The following is an 18218-nucleotide window of genomic DNA, read 5'->3' on the forward strand; positions in this document are numbered from 1 at the left end:
GATTACTATTGCTATTTTGAATTACTGCAGTTTGAATGTTATTTTATTATTTTTTTTCAGACAGGGTTTCACTCTGTCACCCAGGCTGGAGTGCAGTGACGTGATCATGGCCCACTGCAGCCTTGACCCCCAGGCTCAGGCGGTCCTCTCACCTCAGCCTCAGGAGTAGTGGGGACCATAAGCTTGCACCACCACACCGGCCAATTATTTAAAACATGTTTGATAGAGACAGGGCCTCCATGTGTTGCCCAGGCTGGTTTTGAACTCCTGGGCTCAAGTGATCCTTCTGCCTTGACTTCCCAAAGTGCTGGCATTACAGGCGTGAGCCACCATACCCGGCCAAGTGTTATATATTTTTTTAATCAAAATACTTTTCTTTAAATATAGATTTTTTTCAAGTTTGTGGAAACCTGATTGAGTTTCATTGCTTTCACAGCATCTACTTGTACATAATGGTAGCATTTGACTCAGTTAGAAATTTTTACTGAGGCAAAATTTCTTGCATTAAGACAGTGGCTATATTGGCATTCGCTAGTGCAGCTGCCCTCCAGCTCAGCTGCGCATTAGAATCACCTTGGCCACTTTTATTTTATTTTTATTTATTTATTTATTTCGAGATGGAGTTTCGCTGTTGTTGCTCAGGCTGGAGTGCAGTGGCATGATCTCGGCTCACTGCAACTTCCGCCTCTTGGGTTCAAGTGATTCTCCTGCCTTGGCTGCCATTGTAGCTGGGATTACAGGCACCGGCCACACTATGCCTGGCTAATTTTTTGTATTTTTAGTAGAGTCAGGGTTTCACCATGTTGGCCAGGCAGGTCTCAAACTCCTGACCTCAGGTGATCCACCCGCCTCGGCCTCCCAAAGTGTTGGGATTATAGGCGTGAACCACTGCGCCTGGCCACCTTGGCAACTTTTAAACGTTCCATAGCCTAGGTTTTATCCCAGACCAATTATGTCAAACTGTCTGTGGCTGGGACTCTGCCATCAGCATATTTGAAAATTCCCCAGGGGACTGCAACGTGCCACCAAGTTTGAAAATGAATAACCTGGAGACATTTATGTGATATGTATCACCTGGAAATCTTGTCTATACGCAGATTCTCTGATGAAGAAGGACTGGGATGGGCTCCAAATCCTGCATTTCTAACTAGCTCTCACATGACAGCAATAAGAGAGCAATGGTGCTGACCTGCAGCAACAGCTCACTTAAGTGGCAAGGACCTAGAAAGCTTAAAAAGCCTGGGTCCTGTTACTAATGAATTTAATTTGATGGCACTGAGTAGGGTCCAGAATTTGACAATTTTGAAAAGCTCCCCAGGTGACTATTATATTGAATCCCGGGTTGGGAACCCCGTCATGCTACGGGCCAGCTATGCCTCTTGTTATATAAATGGTTAATTAATGGCATCAGGTGAAGGGGGAAGGGAGACGACAAAAACAAGGCCAGGTGGGGGCCCCCCTCTGGGATGGCATATCTAAAAAAGGTCCCTCTTTAGAGAGAACTCACCATAAGGCTACCAGATTTTTTCAACGCATCTTAAGCCCCTGCTTTGCATATTTTTTGAATACAGTTACATATTGACTATCTAGAGGCCCTAATTCCAAATATGTAAGATAAAATAAAACAAGTTCCATCTTGTCACCTGCTGCAATTGTATTCATACGCTGTAGACAGTGCTGAATACAACTCAAGCACAGAACAGATTTTGGAACAGCTGGGGATGGGGGAAGGAGAGGACTCACCAGCAGGAAGGGAGGAGGGAGGCGTGGTAAAGCCTTCCTTCTCCGGAACGGTGACTGCCGTGACTGGGCTTCTGCCACCTGCCCAGTGACAGCCCCCCTCCAGACCACAGAGTCTGCAACAGAACCTGAAGCCCCAATCCTCCTTATACGTTTCTTCTTTACATTATTTCAAACAGTTTTGTTGCCTTTGATCTTTTCCCCTAGAGCTTGCTCAGTGCTGGCCTTGTGCTGTCCTGCCTCTGATTCACAGGCTGTTCTTTGGGGTGTCCCTCTCTGAACCTCTGGGGATGCCCTTTTTTGTGCCACCTCCTGACTGTGCTTAGCACAGTGCAGCTCAGGGCCACTGGATACAGCTGTGCAGGGTGTGCCCTAGAGAGGGCACCTGGTGAGGGGCACAAGAGGGGCTGGGCCAGTCATGCTCTACACTGTGCTGCAGCAGGAGCTAGAGTTGCCTTTCTGCTCTTCCATTTGCTGGAAAGCACTAAGGGGCACCTTTTTCCAGTTTGCATGTAAGTGCTGCCTTGTGTGCTAGTGGAGGCCCAGAGCAGGTCACCCATTGGTGCTTACTAAGTGCTCACTGAATGAATGAATGCATGAACAAAATAACAAAATAGAGGCAATAAAGATAAATAAGAAGCTTTCATAGTCATTTAGGTCAAGTTTAAGGAAGCCCTAAACTAGAATGTAAATGTGTGATGGAAAGCAGGGGATAAACAGAGGAGCAGAAGCAACAGGTGGTGGATTGGATTAAGGTTCAAGGATGGCAAAGGAGAGAGGGAATAAAAATTATCTCCTACCTGTAGTCACCAGTAATGCTTGACTCTTCCACAAGAAGAACAGGGACAGTGGGGTGCGGGTGAGTTCTACGCACCCAAGTCTGGAGAGGTGGCTTTGGTGAGGCAACAAGTTAACAGGAGTGATGCACCTCTGATGTCAGGCCCTGAAACAAGCAGTGCAGAGAGATGTGAGACCACCCCCACCCCCTCAGAGAGCTCATGCTCTAGGTAAGGATACCAGACACAGAATTTCTGGTGCTGGGCTGTGTCAACCAGCAGCACCCATGGGTGACAAGTGACAGTTAATAATACTATAGTAGCTGTATCTACCTACTACTTGTTTTACTCTTCGGGATGAGCTTTCATCTGTGAGAAGTAGCTGTTATGTTGCTTCTCATTGAAGAAGACATTGATGCTTCCTACCCCATCTCCTGACTGCCAGTCAAAACATTAGGTTGAATCATATAAAATTACCATTTTGTAGGTCAAAAATGGTCAAATATCAGCAATTTCATATAGTTCAGCTTAATACATTCCACTATTTTTGCTGTTTGAGACCTTTTAAATGCTTTTATTGGCTTAAGTCAATTATAAAAGGAGATTTTTGATTACCGGTTCAATCTCCTTACTAGTCAGACTCGCTATTTATCTAGGTTATTCAGATTTTCTGTTTCTTCACAGTTTAGTCTTGGAATTTGTCCATTTCATCTAGGTTATTCAATTGGTTGGCATACAATTGTTCATAGTACTGTCTTATGATCTTTTATTTCCATAGAATCAGTAGTAATATCCCCATTTCCATTGCTGATTTTAGTAATTTGAGTCTTCTTTTTTCTTAGCCTACTAGCTAAAAGTTTGTCAGTTTTGTTGATCTTTTAAAAAAATCAACTCTTCATTTCATTGATTTTCTCTGTTGCTTTTCTGTTCTCAACTTCATTATCACTGCTCTTATATGGCTTTTATAATTGCCTATGCATTTACCTTTACTAAGATGTTTATTTCTTCATGTGGGTCCAAGTTACTGACCAGCATTTTTTCATTTCATGTTTTCATATACCTTTGGGCCTTCATTTCACTCTGCACCTAAGCATTTCTTGCAGGGCAGCTCTACTGGTGACAAACTCCCTTGGCTTTTTAAAATCTGGGAATGTCTGAATTTCTCCCTCACTTTGAAGGACAGTTTTTCCAGACATAGGATTCCTAGCTGACAGGTCTTTTCCTTTTAGCACTTTGAATATATTGGCCCATTGCCTTTTGGCTTCCAAAGTTTCTGATGAAAAATCTGCTGATCATCTTACTGAAGATACCTTGTATGTGATGATTTGTATCTCTCTTGCTATTTTGAAAATTCTTTCCTTTTTTATTGATAAGAGATATACATAGTTTCAGGATACATGTGATAATTTAATACAGTCATATAATTTGTAAAGATCAAAGCACCATACTCAGGATATCTGTCACTTTAAATATTTGTCTATTCTTTATGCTAGAACCATTTCAGTTCTTTTCTTCTAGCTATTTGGAAATATACAATAGATTATTGTAAACTACAGTCACCCTACTGATCTGTTTAACACTAGGTCTTACTTCTTTATCAAACCATATATTTATACCCATAATCAACTTCTCTTCATACCCACTTTTCCTCTACCCTTCTCAGCCTCTGGTAACCGTTAATATTTTCTGTCTTTGGGGGCTGGATGCAGTGGCTCATGCCTGTAATCCCAGCACTTTGGGAGGCCGAGGCAGGCAGATCACGAGATCAGGAGATCAAGACCATCCTGGCTAACACAGTGAAACCCCATCTCTACTAAAAATACAAAAAATTAGCCGGGCGTGGTGGCGGGTGCCTGTAGTCCCAGCTACTTGGGAGGCTGAGGCAGGAGAATGGCGTGAACCGGGGAGGCGGAGCTTGCAGTGAGCCAAGATCGTGCCACTCCACTCCAGCCTAGGCGACAGAGTGAGACGCCAACTCAAGAAAAAAATATATATTTTCTATCTTCACAAGATTTGTATTTTTAGCTCCCACATATGAGTGACAACATGCAATATTTGTCTTTCAGTGCTTGGCTTATTTCACTTAACGTAATGACCTCCAGTACAATCCATGTTGCTGCAAATGACAGGATTTCATTCTTTTTTATGGCAAATTTTACACACACACATTCACGTAACAGTTTCTTTATGCATTGATAGACACTTTGATTGGTTCCATATTTTGGCTATTATGAATAGGGTAGCAGTGAACATAGGAGTGAACATACTCATTTTGATATATTCATTTCCTTTCTTTTGGATATATACTGAGTAGTAGAATTGCTGGATCACAGCACAGTTCTCTTTTTAGTTTCTTTGAGGAACCTCAATACTGTTCTCCATAGTGGCTATACTAATTTACATTTTCATCAACAGTGTACAAGGGTTCCCTTTTCTCCACATCCTCACCAGCACTCGTTACTGACCATCTTTTGGATCAAAGCTGTTTCAACTGGGGTGAGATGATATCTTATTGTAGTTTTGATTTGCATTCCTCTGATGACTAGTGATGTTACCATTTTTTCATATACTTGGCCATTTGTATGTCTTCATTTCAGAAATATCTGTTCAGACCTTTTGTCTGTTTTTAAATTGGATTTTTTGTTTTTTGCTGTTCAGTTGTTTGAGCTCCTTATATATTCTGGTTATTAATTTCTTGTCAGATGGGTAGTTTCTAAATATTTTCTCTCATTCAGCAGATTGTCTCATCATTTTTTTTATTGTTTCCTTTGCTGCGCAGAAGTTTTTTTTAGCTTGATGTAATCCCATTTGTCTTTTTTGCTTTGGTTGCCTGTGCTTTTGGGGTCTTACACAAAAATTTTTGGCCAGACCAATGTCCTGGAGCATTTCCCCAGTGTTTTTTTTCTAGTAGTTTCAAAGTTTCAGGTCTTAGATTTAAGTCTTTGATCCATTTTTACTTGATTTTTGTGTATGGTGAGAGATAGGGGTCTAGTTTCATTCTTCTGAATGTATTTATCCAGCTTTCCCAGCACCACTGAAGAGACAGTTCTTTCCTCACTGCATGTTTGTGGAGACTTTGTCAAAGATGAGTTGCTCATAAATGCGTGGATTTATATTTGGGTTCTCCATTCTGTTCCACTGGTCTATGTGCCTGTGTCTGTTTTTATGCGGGTACCATGCTGATTTGGTTATAATAACTTTGTAGTAAATTTTGAAGTCAGGTAGTGTGATGCTTCCAGCTTTGTTTGTTTTGTTCAGGATTGCTTTGACTATTCAGAGTCTCTTGTGGTTCCATATAAATTTTAGAACATTTTTCCTTTTCTATGAAGAATATCATTGGTACTTTGATAGGGATTGCATTGAATTTGTAAACTGCTTTAAGTAGTCTTGTCATTTTAATGATATTAAAGCTGTGAACATAGATTAGAATATCTTTCCATTTTTTGATGTGTCCTCCAAAATTTCTTTCATTGGTGTTTTATAGTTTTCCTTGTAGAGAGATCTTTTATTTATTTGGTTAAATTTGGTTGCTAGGTTTTTAATATTATTTATAGCTATTATAAATAGAATTGCTTTCTTGATATCTTTTTCATATTGTTCACTGCTGGTGAATATAAATGCTGCTGATTTCTGTATGTTGATTTTGTATTTTGCAACTTTACTGAATTAGTTCATCAGTTCTAACAGCTGTTTGGTGGAATCTCTGTTTTTCTAAGTATAAGATCATGTTATCTGTGAACAAGGCTAATTTGACTTCTTCTTTTCCAGTTTGGATACCCTTTATTTTTTTCTCTTGCCTAATTGCTCTGGTCAGGATCTTCTAGTATTATATTAAATACAAGTGGCAAAAGTGGGTATCCCTATCTTGTTCTAGATCTTAGAGGAAAGTCCTTAATTTCTCCCTGTTCAGGATGATGTTAGCTATGGGTTTGTCATATATGACCCCTATATTTTGAGGTATGTTCTTCTTATATCTGGTTTGATGAGGGTTTTGATCATAAAGCGATGCTGAATTTTATCAAATGCTTTTTTGGCATCCATTGAAATAATCATATAGTCTTTGTTCTTGGTTCTGTTAATGTGATGTATCATGTTTATTTATTTGCATATGTTGGATCATCCTCGCATCCCTGGGATTAATCTCACTTGATCATGGTGCATGATCTTTTTATTCTTTTTTTTTTTTTTTTTTTTTACTAGACAGAGTCTTGCTCTTGTTGCCCAGGCTGTAGTGCAGTGGCACGATCTCGGCTCACTGCAACCTCCGCCTCCCGAGTTCAAGCGATTCTCCTGCCTAAGCCTCCCGAATAGCTGGGATTACAGGCAGATGCCACCACGCCCGGCTAATTTTTGTATTTTCAGTAGAGACGGAGTTTCATCATGTTGGCTAGGTTGGTCTCAAACTCCCGACCTCATGATCTGCCCGCCTTAGCCTCCCAAAGTGCTGGGATTACAGGCGTGAGCCACCGCACCCGGCCGATCATGGTGAATGATCTTTTTAATGTGTTGTTGAAGTCAGTTGGCTAGTATTTTGATGAGAATTTTTGCATCTGTGTTCATCATCTTAGTTTTCCTTTTTTCGTCATGTCCTTCTCTGGTTTTGGTATCAGGGTAATGCTGGCCTCATAGAATTAGCTTGGGAGTATTGGAGTATTCATTCCTCTTCAAAAAAAAAAATTTTTTTTTGAGACAGGGTCTTGCCCTGTCACCCAGGCTGGAGTGCAGCAGTGCAGTCACAGCTCGGTGCAGTCACAGCTCACTGCAGCCTTGATCTGCTAGGCTCAAGGGATTCTCTGCCTCAGCCACCCAAGTAGCTAGGACTACAGATGTGTACCACCATGCCTGGCTAATTTTTTTTTTCTTTTCTTTTGGGTAGAGACATGGTTTTGCCATGTTGCCCAGGCTGGCTCTTCAGTTTTTTTGAAGAATTTGCGTAAAATTGATATTTGTTATTTAAATGTTTGGTAGGATGCGGCAATAAAGCCATTAGGCCATGTGGGGATTTCTTTCATGGGAGACTTTATTATGGCTTCAGTATCACTACTCGTTATTGGTTTATTGAGTTTTCCTATTTCTTCATGGTTCAATCTTGGTAGATGTATATGTCTAGGAATTTATCCATTTCTTCTAGGTTTTCCAGTTTTGTTGGCATGTAGTTGTTCATAGTAGTCTCTAATGATTCTTTGTATTTCCGTGGTCTCAATTGTTATGTCTCCTTTTTCATTTCTAAAGTTATTTATTTGGGTCTTCCCTCTTTTTCTTTTTTCTCGGTCTAACCAAGGGCTTGTCAATTTTTGTATCTTATCTTTTTTTATTTTGTGAGACAGCATCTTAATCTGTTGCCCAGGCTAGAGTGCAGTGAAATGATCATGGGTCACTACAACCCTGAACTCGTGGGCTGAAGCAATCCTCCTCCTGCCTCAGCCTCCCAAGTATCTGGGTACTATAGGCATGCACCACCATGCCTGGCTAATTTTTTTTTTTTTTTTAAAGATGGGGTCTCACAGGTCTCGCTATGTTGTCCAGGCTTGCCATGAACTCCTGCCTCAGGCAATCCTGCTGCCTCGACCTCCCAAAGTGCTAAAATTGTAGGTGTGAGCCACCATGCCCAACCCTTGTATTTATATTTAATTTACCAATGGGTTTTATACCTTTAAATGTTTTTCTTTTCTTTTTTTTTTTCTTTTTGCACTTTAGTGTTTTTTTCTTGCAGATTGAATAACTCAATATTTAGTGTTTCTTGTAAGATGGTGGTGAATTCTCCCTGCTTTCATTTGCCTGGGAAAAACATATTTGAAGGATAACTTTGCTGAATACAATATTTTTGGATGGCAGTTTTTTCAGCACTTTAAAAATGTCATTCTGCTGCTTCCCCCTGGCCTGTATGGTGTCCATTGAGAACTGCCAGACACATTGGAGTGCCTTTATATGTTATTTGCTGATTTTCTCTTGCTGCTTTTAGGATTCTGTTTGTCCTTGACCTTTGAGAGTCTGATTATTATATGTCTTGAGGTAGTCTTATTTGGGTCAAATCTGTTTGGTGTTCTCTAACCTTCCTATACCTGGATATTTATATCTTTCTCAAGTTTTGGAAAGTTTTTTGTTTCTCTTTTTTTTTGAATAAGCTTTCTACCCCTTGCACTTGCTCAACTCCCTATTGAACCTCAATAATTCTTAAATTTTGTCTTTTTTCTTTCCTCCCTGTGTCACCCAGGCTGGAATGCAGTGGTGTAATCACAACTTACTGCAGCCTCAACCTCCTAGGCTCAAGCAAATCCTCCCTCTCAGCCTCCCGAGTAACTGGGACAACAGGCACGTGCCACAATGCCAGGCTAATTTTTTGTATTTTTTCTAGAGACAGGGTTTTGCCATGTTGCGCAGACTGGTCTTAAACTCCTGGGTTCAAGCAATCCACCCGCCTTGGCCTTCCAAAGTACGGGGATTACAGGCATGAGCCACTGCACCAAGTCGAGTCTTTTTTTTTTTTTTTTTTTAAAGACAGGTTCTCATTCTGTCCCCTGGGCTAGAGTGCAGTGGTGTGATCAAAGCTCACTGCAGTCTCGAACTCCTGGGTTCAAGCAGTCCTCCCACCTCAGCCTCCTGCATGGCTGGAACTACAGGCATGCACCACAATGCCCTGCTAGTGTTTTTATTTTTTGTAGAGAGGGGGGTCTCACTATGTTGCCCAGGCTAGTCTCGAACTCCTGCCTTCAAGTGATCCTCCTGCTTCAGCCTCCCAAAGTGCTGGGATTACAGGCATGAGCCAACTCATTTGGCAAATTTGGTCTTTTGAGGTAATTTTCTGTATCTTGTAGGCAATCTTTGTTGATTCTCATTTTTTAAAGATTTTTTTCTCCTTTATGTATTTTCAAGTAGCCTATCTTTAGGCTCAATGATTCTTACCTCTGCTTGATCCATTCTTCTTTGGAAAGCCTCTAAGGAATTCTTCAGCTCTGCAAACATATTTCTCCATTCTAAGATTTCTGCTTGATTTCTTTTTATTATTTCAACCTCTTTGCTAAGTTTATTTGATAAATTTCTGAACTGCTTTTCTGTGGTATCTTAAAGATCACTGAGTTTCCTTAGAACTTCTATTCTGAATTCTTGGTTAGAGAGCTTACATATCATCCTCTCATTTAGAGTGAGTTGCTGGTTCCTTGCTATGTCCCTTTGGGGAGATCATGATTCCCTGTTTGCTGTTGTTTCCTGTTGATGTGTATGTCTTTGCATTGAAGGATTATTCATTTAATCTAGTCTTCTCTGGCTGGCTTGTTTTTGTATTTTATTGGATACATTTGCTTAGAGGCTTTTTGCTGCTGGGTCACTGCCTCCTTTTTAGCTCTAGGTGGAGCCTTAAACCCAGGTTCACCTCAGCTCTTAGTAAACTATCAGAACGCTGCTCTTCCTGAATGGGGGAGGTCCCCAGGGGATTTTCTTGGCAGGGTGGGAAGGCTGGCTAGGGGTCCATGCCCAGGGGATCTGTGGGACAAACCTCCTATAGTGTGGTACTGCTAAACAGCCACTCTGATTTGGCATCTCCTTTTGCTGAGTTACACAACAGAGATTCCAGAGCTGGGGATGGTAGTCCCACCTCCCTGCTTTGCCTCTGTCTGTCCTCAGGGATATTTCTCCCTTCAGGCACTTGCGATGCTTCCCATGGATTAAGGCAGAGCAGGCCTCCTGCCAGGGAACCCAAGATGGTAGAGAAGCTGAATGTCCACCTCAATTGCACTTTTTCCAGTGTAGAAACCTTGAGTTGGAGGAAATGTTTTTGCATGCCTGGTGATCGGCATAATGTGGGGAATGTTGTTATGGATGTAGAAATCCAATTGTCTTACCATCTGCTCAGGGTTTTTTCTGGGGTCCTGGGAACTGTCTCATCTTCATATTTGAGTTCTGAGGTCCTTCTGGTGATAATTTCAGCACTGTATATTTGTTTTTATTTTTCTGTTGGGGAGGGGTGGGTACTAAAGCCAGCTTACTTCTATGCCACCATTTCAGAACTGGAAGTCTTTCACTTTTGAAAGTTTGATTTTAGTGTGTCTAGATGTGGGTGTCTTTGAGTTCATCTTACTTGGAGTTCATTTAACTTCTTGGATGTTTGTATTCAAGTCTTTCACCAAATTTGGAGAGTTTTCAGCCATTATCTTTTCAAAATACTCTTGCTACCCTTTTCTCTCTCCTTATCCTTCTGGAATTCCCACAGTGTGTGTGTGTGTCTGCCTGATGGTGTCCCACAGGTCCTTTAGGCTCTATTCACTTCTCTTCAGTCTTTTTTCTGATCCTCAGACTTGATAATTTCCATTGTCCTCTCTTCAAGTTTGCTAATTCTTTCTTCTGCCTGCCAAATCTGCCTTTGAATCCCTCTAGTGAATTTTTCATTTCAATTATTGTACTTTTCAGTTCTGGGGTTTGTGGTATCTTTTTAAGTTTTCTATCTCTTTACTGGTATTTCCATTTTGTTCATACGTCATTATCTTGATGTCCTTCACTTCTTCCTTTAGTTCTTTGAGCATCTTTAAGACAGTTGTTTTAAAGTCTTTGCCATCAGGTCTCTTTCAGGGACCGTTTCTGTTGACTTATTTTTCTTCCTTTGACTGGGCCATATTTTCATCTTTCTTCATATGTCTTGTGATTTTTTTGTTGTTGAAAAGTGAATGTTTGAATCTAACAGTGTGGTATCTAGAAATCAGATTCTCCCCCTCCCCTGGGCTCACTGTTTTTGTTTACTTATTTGATGGTTGTATACTGTGTGTATGCTGAGGAAAATATAAGCCTGAGGTATAAATGTAAGGTCTCCTCAAGTCTTTTCTTTTTCTTTTTTTTTTTTTTTTTTTTGAGCAGAGTCTTGCTCTGTCACCCAGGCTGGAGTGCAAACGGTGCTATCTCAGCTCACTGCAGCCTACACTTCCCGAGTTCAAGCAACTCTCCTGCCTCAGCCTCCAGAGTAGCTGGGATTACAGGCACCTGCCACCACACCCCGCTGATTTTTGAATTTTTAGTAGAGATGGGGTTTCACCATGTTGCCTAGGCTGGTCTCAAACTCCTGATCTCGTGATCTGCCCACCTCAGCCTCCCAAAGTGCTGGGATTACAGGTGTGAGCCACTGCGCCCGACCTCTTTTTTTTTTTTTTTTTTTTTTTTTTTTTTTTTTAAAGACAGAATCTCACTGTGTCACCCAGGCTGGAGTGCAGTGGTGCAATCTCAGCTCACTGCAACCTCCGCCTCCCAGGTTCAAGCAATTCTTGTGCCTCAGCCACCCAAGTAGCTGGGATTACAGGCATGTGCCACCACACCTGGCTAATTTTTTGTATTTTTAGTAGAGACATTGTTTCACCATGTTGGCTAGGCTGGTATCAAACTCTGACCTCGGGTGATTCCCCCTGCCTCGGCCTCCCAAAGTGCTAGGATTACAGGTGTGAGCTAGCACTCCCAGCTTCTCAGGTCTTTTCTGAGCCTTTCTCTGGGCATCCATGGTCATTTCTATTTTCCCCTATATATATGTGTTTGTTTTTGAATGTCCTAGTCTTTAATGTCTGGCTTCTAAAAGGGAAAAAAGCAAAAAATTAATGGGGGAGGTGCTGGCCCTTTAAATTACCTGGAGGTCACTTCAGCCCAAGGGAGAGGGGCTTGCAACATTGGAGGGACATACAATAACAGTGGCTCTCAGCCTCTTTGTCTGCACTTCTGTGATTAGAACCAGCAATCAGTGATCAGAGCACAGATCCTTGATATTTGGAGGGTCAGGGTCTTTGTTTCTGCCTACCCTGGCTCCCTCAAGCTATGTGCAGGTTGCTCCAGGAACATGGGCACAGCTGCCTACCATGTGACTGAGAGGTGGGGGATGGGTAGCTGCTGCTCTGCTAAGAGCTGAAGTTGACCAAAATTAACTACTATTTAATATCCAAGCCTTCCCCGAGAAGTTGCAAGCCTTCAATAGATTCCAAGTGGTTTCAAAATAGTTACAGCAGGAAGATTTTGCTAATGCAGTTGTCTGGGTGGGGAAGATTGCTGGTGCTTTCTACTCCACCATCTTCCCCCTCTCTTAGATTTTCACATGTGTGGTTACATTAAATCCTGATGAGCAGAGAATTTGCCCCAAACATTTCTTGGTATTTTTAGGGAAATGTATATGTTGCAAATTCTAGTCTCCAGTGTGAATGATAAGTAAAATGTGGTTGTTGCTGTTACATCATTATGTTTTTTCCCTGTTTTTAGATAAACCAGATATTTTCAATCAATGAAAAACGATGACAGATATTTCAGGCAGTCTTCAATTAGCTGGCAATAATATGTTTTATATTAAATGAAATGTTTCGTAAGCCATGTACACTTTTAAAATCCATCTCTATCTCACCATACCTCACATGATACAGTGCTTATGTTGTGGCAAAATAAGACCCAGACTCAAGTTTTAGAATTCCTTAAGGTAAGGTCGGCTACAAGAAGGAATGAGGGCCCCCACACAAACTTGCAAGGCCCCAAAAGACAGTGATTTTTCTTGAGATACATTAAGTCACAAGCACACTAATCATGGTGAAATGTTACAACCGTGCAAAGTATTTGATAGTGTTAACTACTGATGTCCAGGGTTTTCATGAAGATATAGCTGACATATATATTTTTTAAGATCATGCTATTTATCTAGGGAGAGTAAAACATCAGTTTGCCAGGGTTTTAACTTTTCTTTCTTTTTCTTTTCTTTCTTTTTTTTTTTTTTTTTGAGATGGAGTCTCGCTCTTGTCGCCCAGGCAGGAGTGCAGTGGCGCGATCTCAGCTCACTGCTCACTGCAACCTCCACCTCCCGGGTTCAAGGGATTCTCGCTACTCAGCCGCCCAAGTAGCTGGAATTACAGGCGCCCGCGACTGTGCCCGGCTGATATTTGTATTTTTAGTAGAGACAGGGTTTCACCATATTGGCCAGGCTGGTCTCGAACTCTTTTTTTGTTTGTTTGTTTTTTGAGACGGAGTCTCGCTCTGTCACCCAGGGTAGAGTACAGTGGCGCAATCTTGGCTCACTGCAAGCTCCGCCTCCCGGGTTCACGCCATTCTCCTGCCTCAGCCTCCCGAGCAGCTGGGACTACAGGCGCCCGCCACCACGCCTGGCTAGTTTTTTGTATTTTTAGTAGAGACGGGGTTTCACTGTGTTAGCGAGGATATTCTGGATCTCCTGACCTCATGATCCGCCCGTCTCGGCCTCCCAAAGTGCTAGGATTACAGGCGTGAGCCACCGCGCCCGGTCTGGTCTCAAACTCTCTACCTCAGATGATCCACCCTCCTCGGCCTCCCAAAGTGTTGGGATTACAGGAGTGAGCCACTGCGCCCGGCCGGGTTTTAACTTTTCTTAACTGGCAGTTATTTTTTTTGAGACAGAGTCTTGCTCTATTGCCAGGCTGGAGTGCAGTGGTGCGATCTCCGCTCACTGCAATCTCCACCTCCTGGGTTCAAGCGATTCTCCTGCCTCAGCCTCCCAAGTGGTTGAGATTACAGGTGTGTGCCACCACACCCAGCTAATTTTTGTGTTTTTAGTAGAGATGGTGTTTCACCATGTTGGCCAGGATAGTCTCCATCTCCTGACCTCATGATCCACCCGCCTTGGCCTCCCAAAGTGCCAGGATTACAGGCGTAAGCCACCACGCGGGGCCCTTTTTTTTTTTTTTTTTTTTTTTTTTTTTTTGAGGCAAGGTATTGCTCTGTTGCTCAGGCTGGAGTGCAGCTTTGCGATCACAGCTCATTGCAACCTCATCGACCTTCTGGGCTTAATCAATCCTCCCACCTCAGCCTCCTGAGTAGCTGTGACTACAGGCATATGCACTATGCCTGGCTAATTTTTGCTTTTTGAGTTTTTTTCCTGATAGAGCCGAGATTTTGCTATGTTGCCCAGGCTGATCTCAAACTCTGGGCTCAAGTGATCTGCCTGCCTTGGCTTCCCAAAGTATTGGAATTAGAGGCGTGGGCCACCACACATGGCCTAAGGCCTAATTGGCAGTCTTCATGACATAGAACTTCATCTCTTATGGGCAGGGTTGGCTTCATGGACATGTAATTTGTGCTCTTAGACATACCTAGTGCTGATATAATATTCTTCTGTTGCCATTGTGAAGTTCTTAATAAATTATAAACAAAGACCTCTGCATTTTCATTTTCACCGGGCCCCGCAAATTGTATCGCTCGTCCTGATTATGGGAGCTGATTTCATCTTCCTTTACCATATCGTATGAGCTAAAGCATGGTTTTCACGGGATAAACTATGGAACAGGCAAGGGTGGTGGTAAGCCAAAGGAGCTTCTGGCCAACACTTTTTATTTCTACCAGAGACTGAACTTGGTATGATAGGCAAGGGAAAGAAAGAGCATAGTTTAGAAGCAGGCAGGGGCTACTGACAGCTAGAGATTCTCCATTAATAACAACAGCAGCTGCTGGTACTCCTGCTACACCCACGACCATTTCAAGTAGCTAAAATATCTGCCAGGCTCTGGCTAAGTGCTTCATGTTCATTATTTCCTTTAACTTAATCTTCTCAACAACCTACAAATTGAGTATTATTTTTATAGATGAAGAATCCAAAGTTACCAGTAATTAAGTTGCCTACAATTATAGAGGCATTCACTGTCCTTCCTACTCACTTAAAAAGAACCAGTCTATCTTGTCTTGTTAAAATTGGATGTGAATCACCAATTTTCACCCTTTAAAAGATGTATTGGCAGGGCAAGGGCCATAGACTTCGTTAGTTTTTTTTTTCTACTTTTTTACTTTTAGGTATAATTGTAGATAGTATTGTTGTTTAGTACCTTTTGGATAGATATTTTCTTTCCTTTTTCTCCATAGATGCTATCTAGACAGTATAACAATACTGGAAGTGTTTTCCAAGAAGAAATACATACACCCTCCTCTTTGTCTCAGAAGATGTCAGTAAACAGTCCTATCTATTTTTTAAACCTCAGCCAAAATAACATTTAGTTCATTGATTATCTCTGCTATTATTGTTTTCTTAGTTTTTATGTGTGATTGTATTCTACCATAATTTTAAAAGATTATCCAGCTAGGCATGGTGGCTCATGCCTATAATCCCAGCATTTTGGGAGCCCAAGGCAGATGGATCCCTTGAGCCTAGGAGTTCAAGACCAGCCTGGGCAACATGACGAAATCCCATCTCTACAAAAAATACAAAAAATTAGCCAGGCATGGTGGCACACACCTGTAGTCCCAACTACTGGGGAGGCTGAGGTGGGAGGATCACCTGAGCCTGGAGGTGGAGGTTGCAGTGAGCCGAGATCACACCACTGCACTTCAAACTGGGCGACAGAGCAAGACCCTGTCTCAAAAAAATAAAAATAAAAAAAGATTATCCATGTGTTCTATTTTAATTTTGCATTAAAATATAGTTTTTCACAAGTTTATAAATACAGAAATCTCATTCTGGACTAACCCCAATCACGTGTCTTGCAGGAAAGCGTCTCTAGCAGCTGATATCCCCAGACTTGGATATAGTTCCTCATCCCATCACAAGTACATCCCCCGGAGGGCAGTGCTTTATGTACCTGGAAATGATGAAAAGAAAATAAAGAAGATTCCATCCCTGAATGTAGATTGTGCAGTGCTCGACTGTGAGGATGGAGTGGCTGCAAACAAAAAGGTAATGGCATGATTTTAGTATGAGAAAAAGAAAGGTATTGAAATTTGCTTCTCTTCCGAATAGTGACATTGCCCGCTATTTGGAAAGATTCTACCACACTCATCTTTTGCTGATTATTAACAATTCTTTGATCTGCTTTTATATAGGTTCTAAATGTGTATCTCTTTTCTCTGAGAGAAAGGAAGAATCCCACCAAAATATATTTTAAAATCACGACCTTCAGTAGATGAGACTATGTGTATGTATAGATAAAAAGATGGACAATCAATTTTGGCCATGATGTTTGCCGGTCTAGGTAAATGAGTGACATCAGGGGTCCCCAATCCCCAGGCCATGGACCAGTACAGGCCACAATACAGGCCTGTTAGGAACTGGGCCAGAACCCAGGAGATGAGCAGTGGGTGAACAAGCATTATGGCCTAAGCTCTGCCTCCTGTCAGATCAGCAGTGGCATTAGATTCTCAAGGAGCACGACCCTGTTGTGAACTGCGCACGTGAAGGATCTAGGTTGCACGCTCCTTGTAAGAATCTAACTAATGCCTGATGATCTGAGGTGGAACAGTTTCATCCGAAACCATTGCGCCGCCCCACCTCCCATGGAATAATTACCCTCCACAAAACAGGTCCCTGGTGCCAAAAAGGTTGGGGACCACTGAATTAGATAATTCTAAAATTGTGGTGTAAGATTTTCAGACTGATAAAATGCAACTAGGAAGTTCTTTCTTCTTCTTACCACCAGGTATACTGAGTAATGGTCTTTTCTCTTCTGGGATACGTGTCAAGAGAATAAAACATAGTTTTTCATGGATAAATCACCATTTTCTCTACTTAATTTAAGGGAAATGACACATAGAACCTTAGTGGTTGGCTGTAGCTTCTGGCTTATTTCCTCATGGCCTGACCAAAGAGATGAGCCTTAGAAAATATCCAACTTGTAGGCCGGATGAGGTGGCTCATGCCTATAATCCCAGCACTTTAGGAGGCCAAGATAGGAGCATCACTTGAGCTCAGGAGTTTGAGACCAGTCTGGCCAACATAGCAAAACCCCATTTCTACCAAAAAAAAAAAAAAATTTAGCCAGGTGTGGCGGCGTGTACCTGTAGTCCCAGCTACTCAGGAGGCTGAGGTGGTAGAATCACGTGAGCCCGAGAGTTTGAGGCTGCAGTGAACCATGATCGTGCCACTGCACTCCAGCTTGGGCAACAGAGTGAGACCCTGTCTCCAAAAAAGTTTTAAAAAAACAAAATAACCAATTTGTAAATAGGTACAAAAGACTCTTACTGCGTGACTGTATAGTAGTTGCTTTTTATTTTGTTTTGCTCAACTTTGTTTTCTATGTTTTTCTAATGAACATGGATTCATTCAATGATTAGTTGAGATATATAAATCATTATAACAATAACTTACATTTGCATGGAACTTTTAAAGTTAAAAACATGAGTTCGCTTGACCTTTATCTATCCAGGCCCTAGACAATGAGGTTGGGCTGGGAATGGGTCGTGGGGCGGGGGATGAGGGAGCTGGCTCTCTGGATTTATGCCTACTTGAAAGTTTCTTGCGCCAGGTGACCTGAAACAACGTGGCTGTACTATACAATTTTCTGGATTAATTGCTTTTTCTGGAGTTTCTAGCAAATATTTGCCTTAATTTTAAAGAAAAAATTTAATTTCCAGTATCTTCCTAATGGTCAAACTAAGGCTTTCCAAGTATTTGGAAAAGGATTAGAATGAGCCTGTGGAATCTAAAATGTCTACTCAACATCTTTGGCATGTGCCAAGGAAAATACTATTAATCCTTCTCCCAGAGATTAAAGTAAATAGGCCTTTTTCTGAAGGCTGTAATATGATTTCAGTATGCTCCTTCCCATAACTCATGTAGTGCACTCCAAGATTCGATGCTAACTTGTAATTCCAGTTCTGTGTGACCCAGGGCAATTCACTTTACTTCTTTGCCTCAATTTCTTATCTGTACTGTAGGGATGACAATATCTTCTTTTGTCAGGGACAGGGTTTATTATGAGAAAAAAGTTGATAAAGTACCTGGGAGTAGCTTGATTTCCTATAGGA

At 41.7% G+C, this 18218-nt stretch overlaps 1 protein-coding gene and 1 long non-coding RNA gene across 11 annotated transcripts in view; one reads left to right on the top strand and one right to left on the bottom strand.

Annotated features, from left to right (window-relative positions):
* Positions 1–18218, top strand: part of CLYBL (citramalyl-CoA lyase) — a 302755-nt gene that overhangs the window by 150169 nt on the left and 134368 nt on the right. For all 10 annotated transcript variants that reach the window (NR_104592.2, NM_001393361.1, NM_001393360.1 and 7 more), the window contains exon 2: positions 15966–16152. Coding sequence is in view for 9 of the 10 variants with exons in the window: in NM_001393361.1 (NP_001380290.1) it covers positions 15966–16152 (187 nt within the window). In the remaining variant the exon portion in view is untranslated. The remainder of the gene's footprint in view (positions 1–15965; positions 16153–18218) is intronic.
* CLYBL-AS3 (CLYBL antisense RNA 3) overlaps positions 1–18218 on the bottom strand; it is a 216296-nt gene that overhangs the window by 15989 nt on the left and 182089 nt on the right. The window contains exons 3-4 of the long non-coding RNA NR_120421.1: positions 15946–16057; positions 2541–2683 (exon numbers count right to left, since the gene is read on the bottom strand). This is a non-coding gene — a long non-coding RNA (CLYBL antisense RNA 3). The remainder of the gene's footprint in view (positions 1–2540; positions 2684–15945; positions 16058–18218) is intronic.

Source organism: Homo sapiens, chromosome 13, assembly GCF_000001405.40.
Source record: "Homo sapiens chromosome 13, GRCh38.p14 Primary Assembly".
In the NCBI taxonomy this organism is placed as follows: Eukaryota; Metazoa; Chordata; class Mammalia; order Primates; family Hominidae; genus Homo; species Homo sapiens.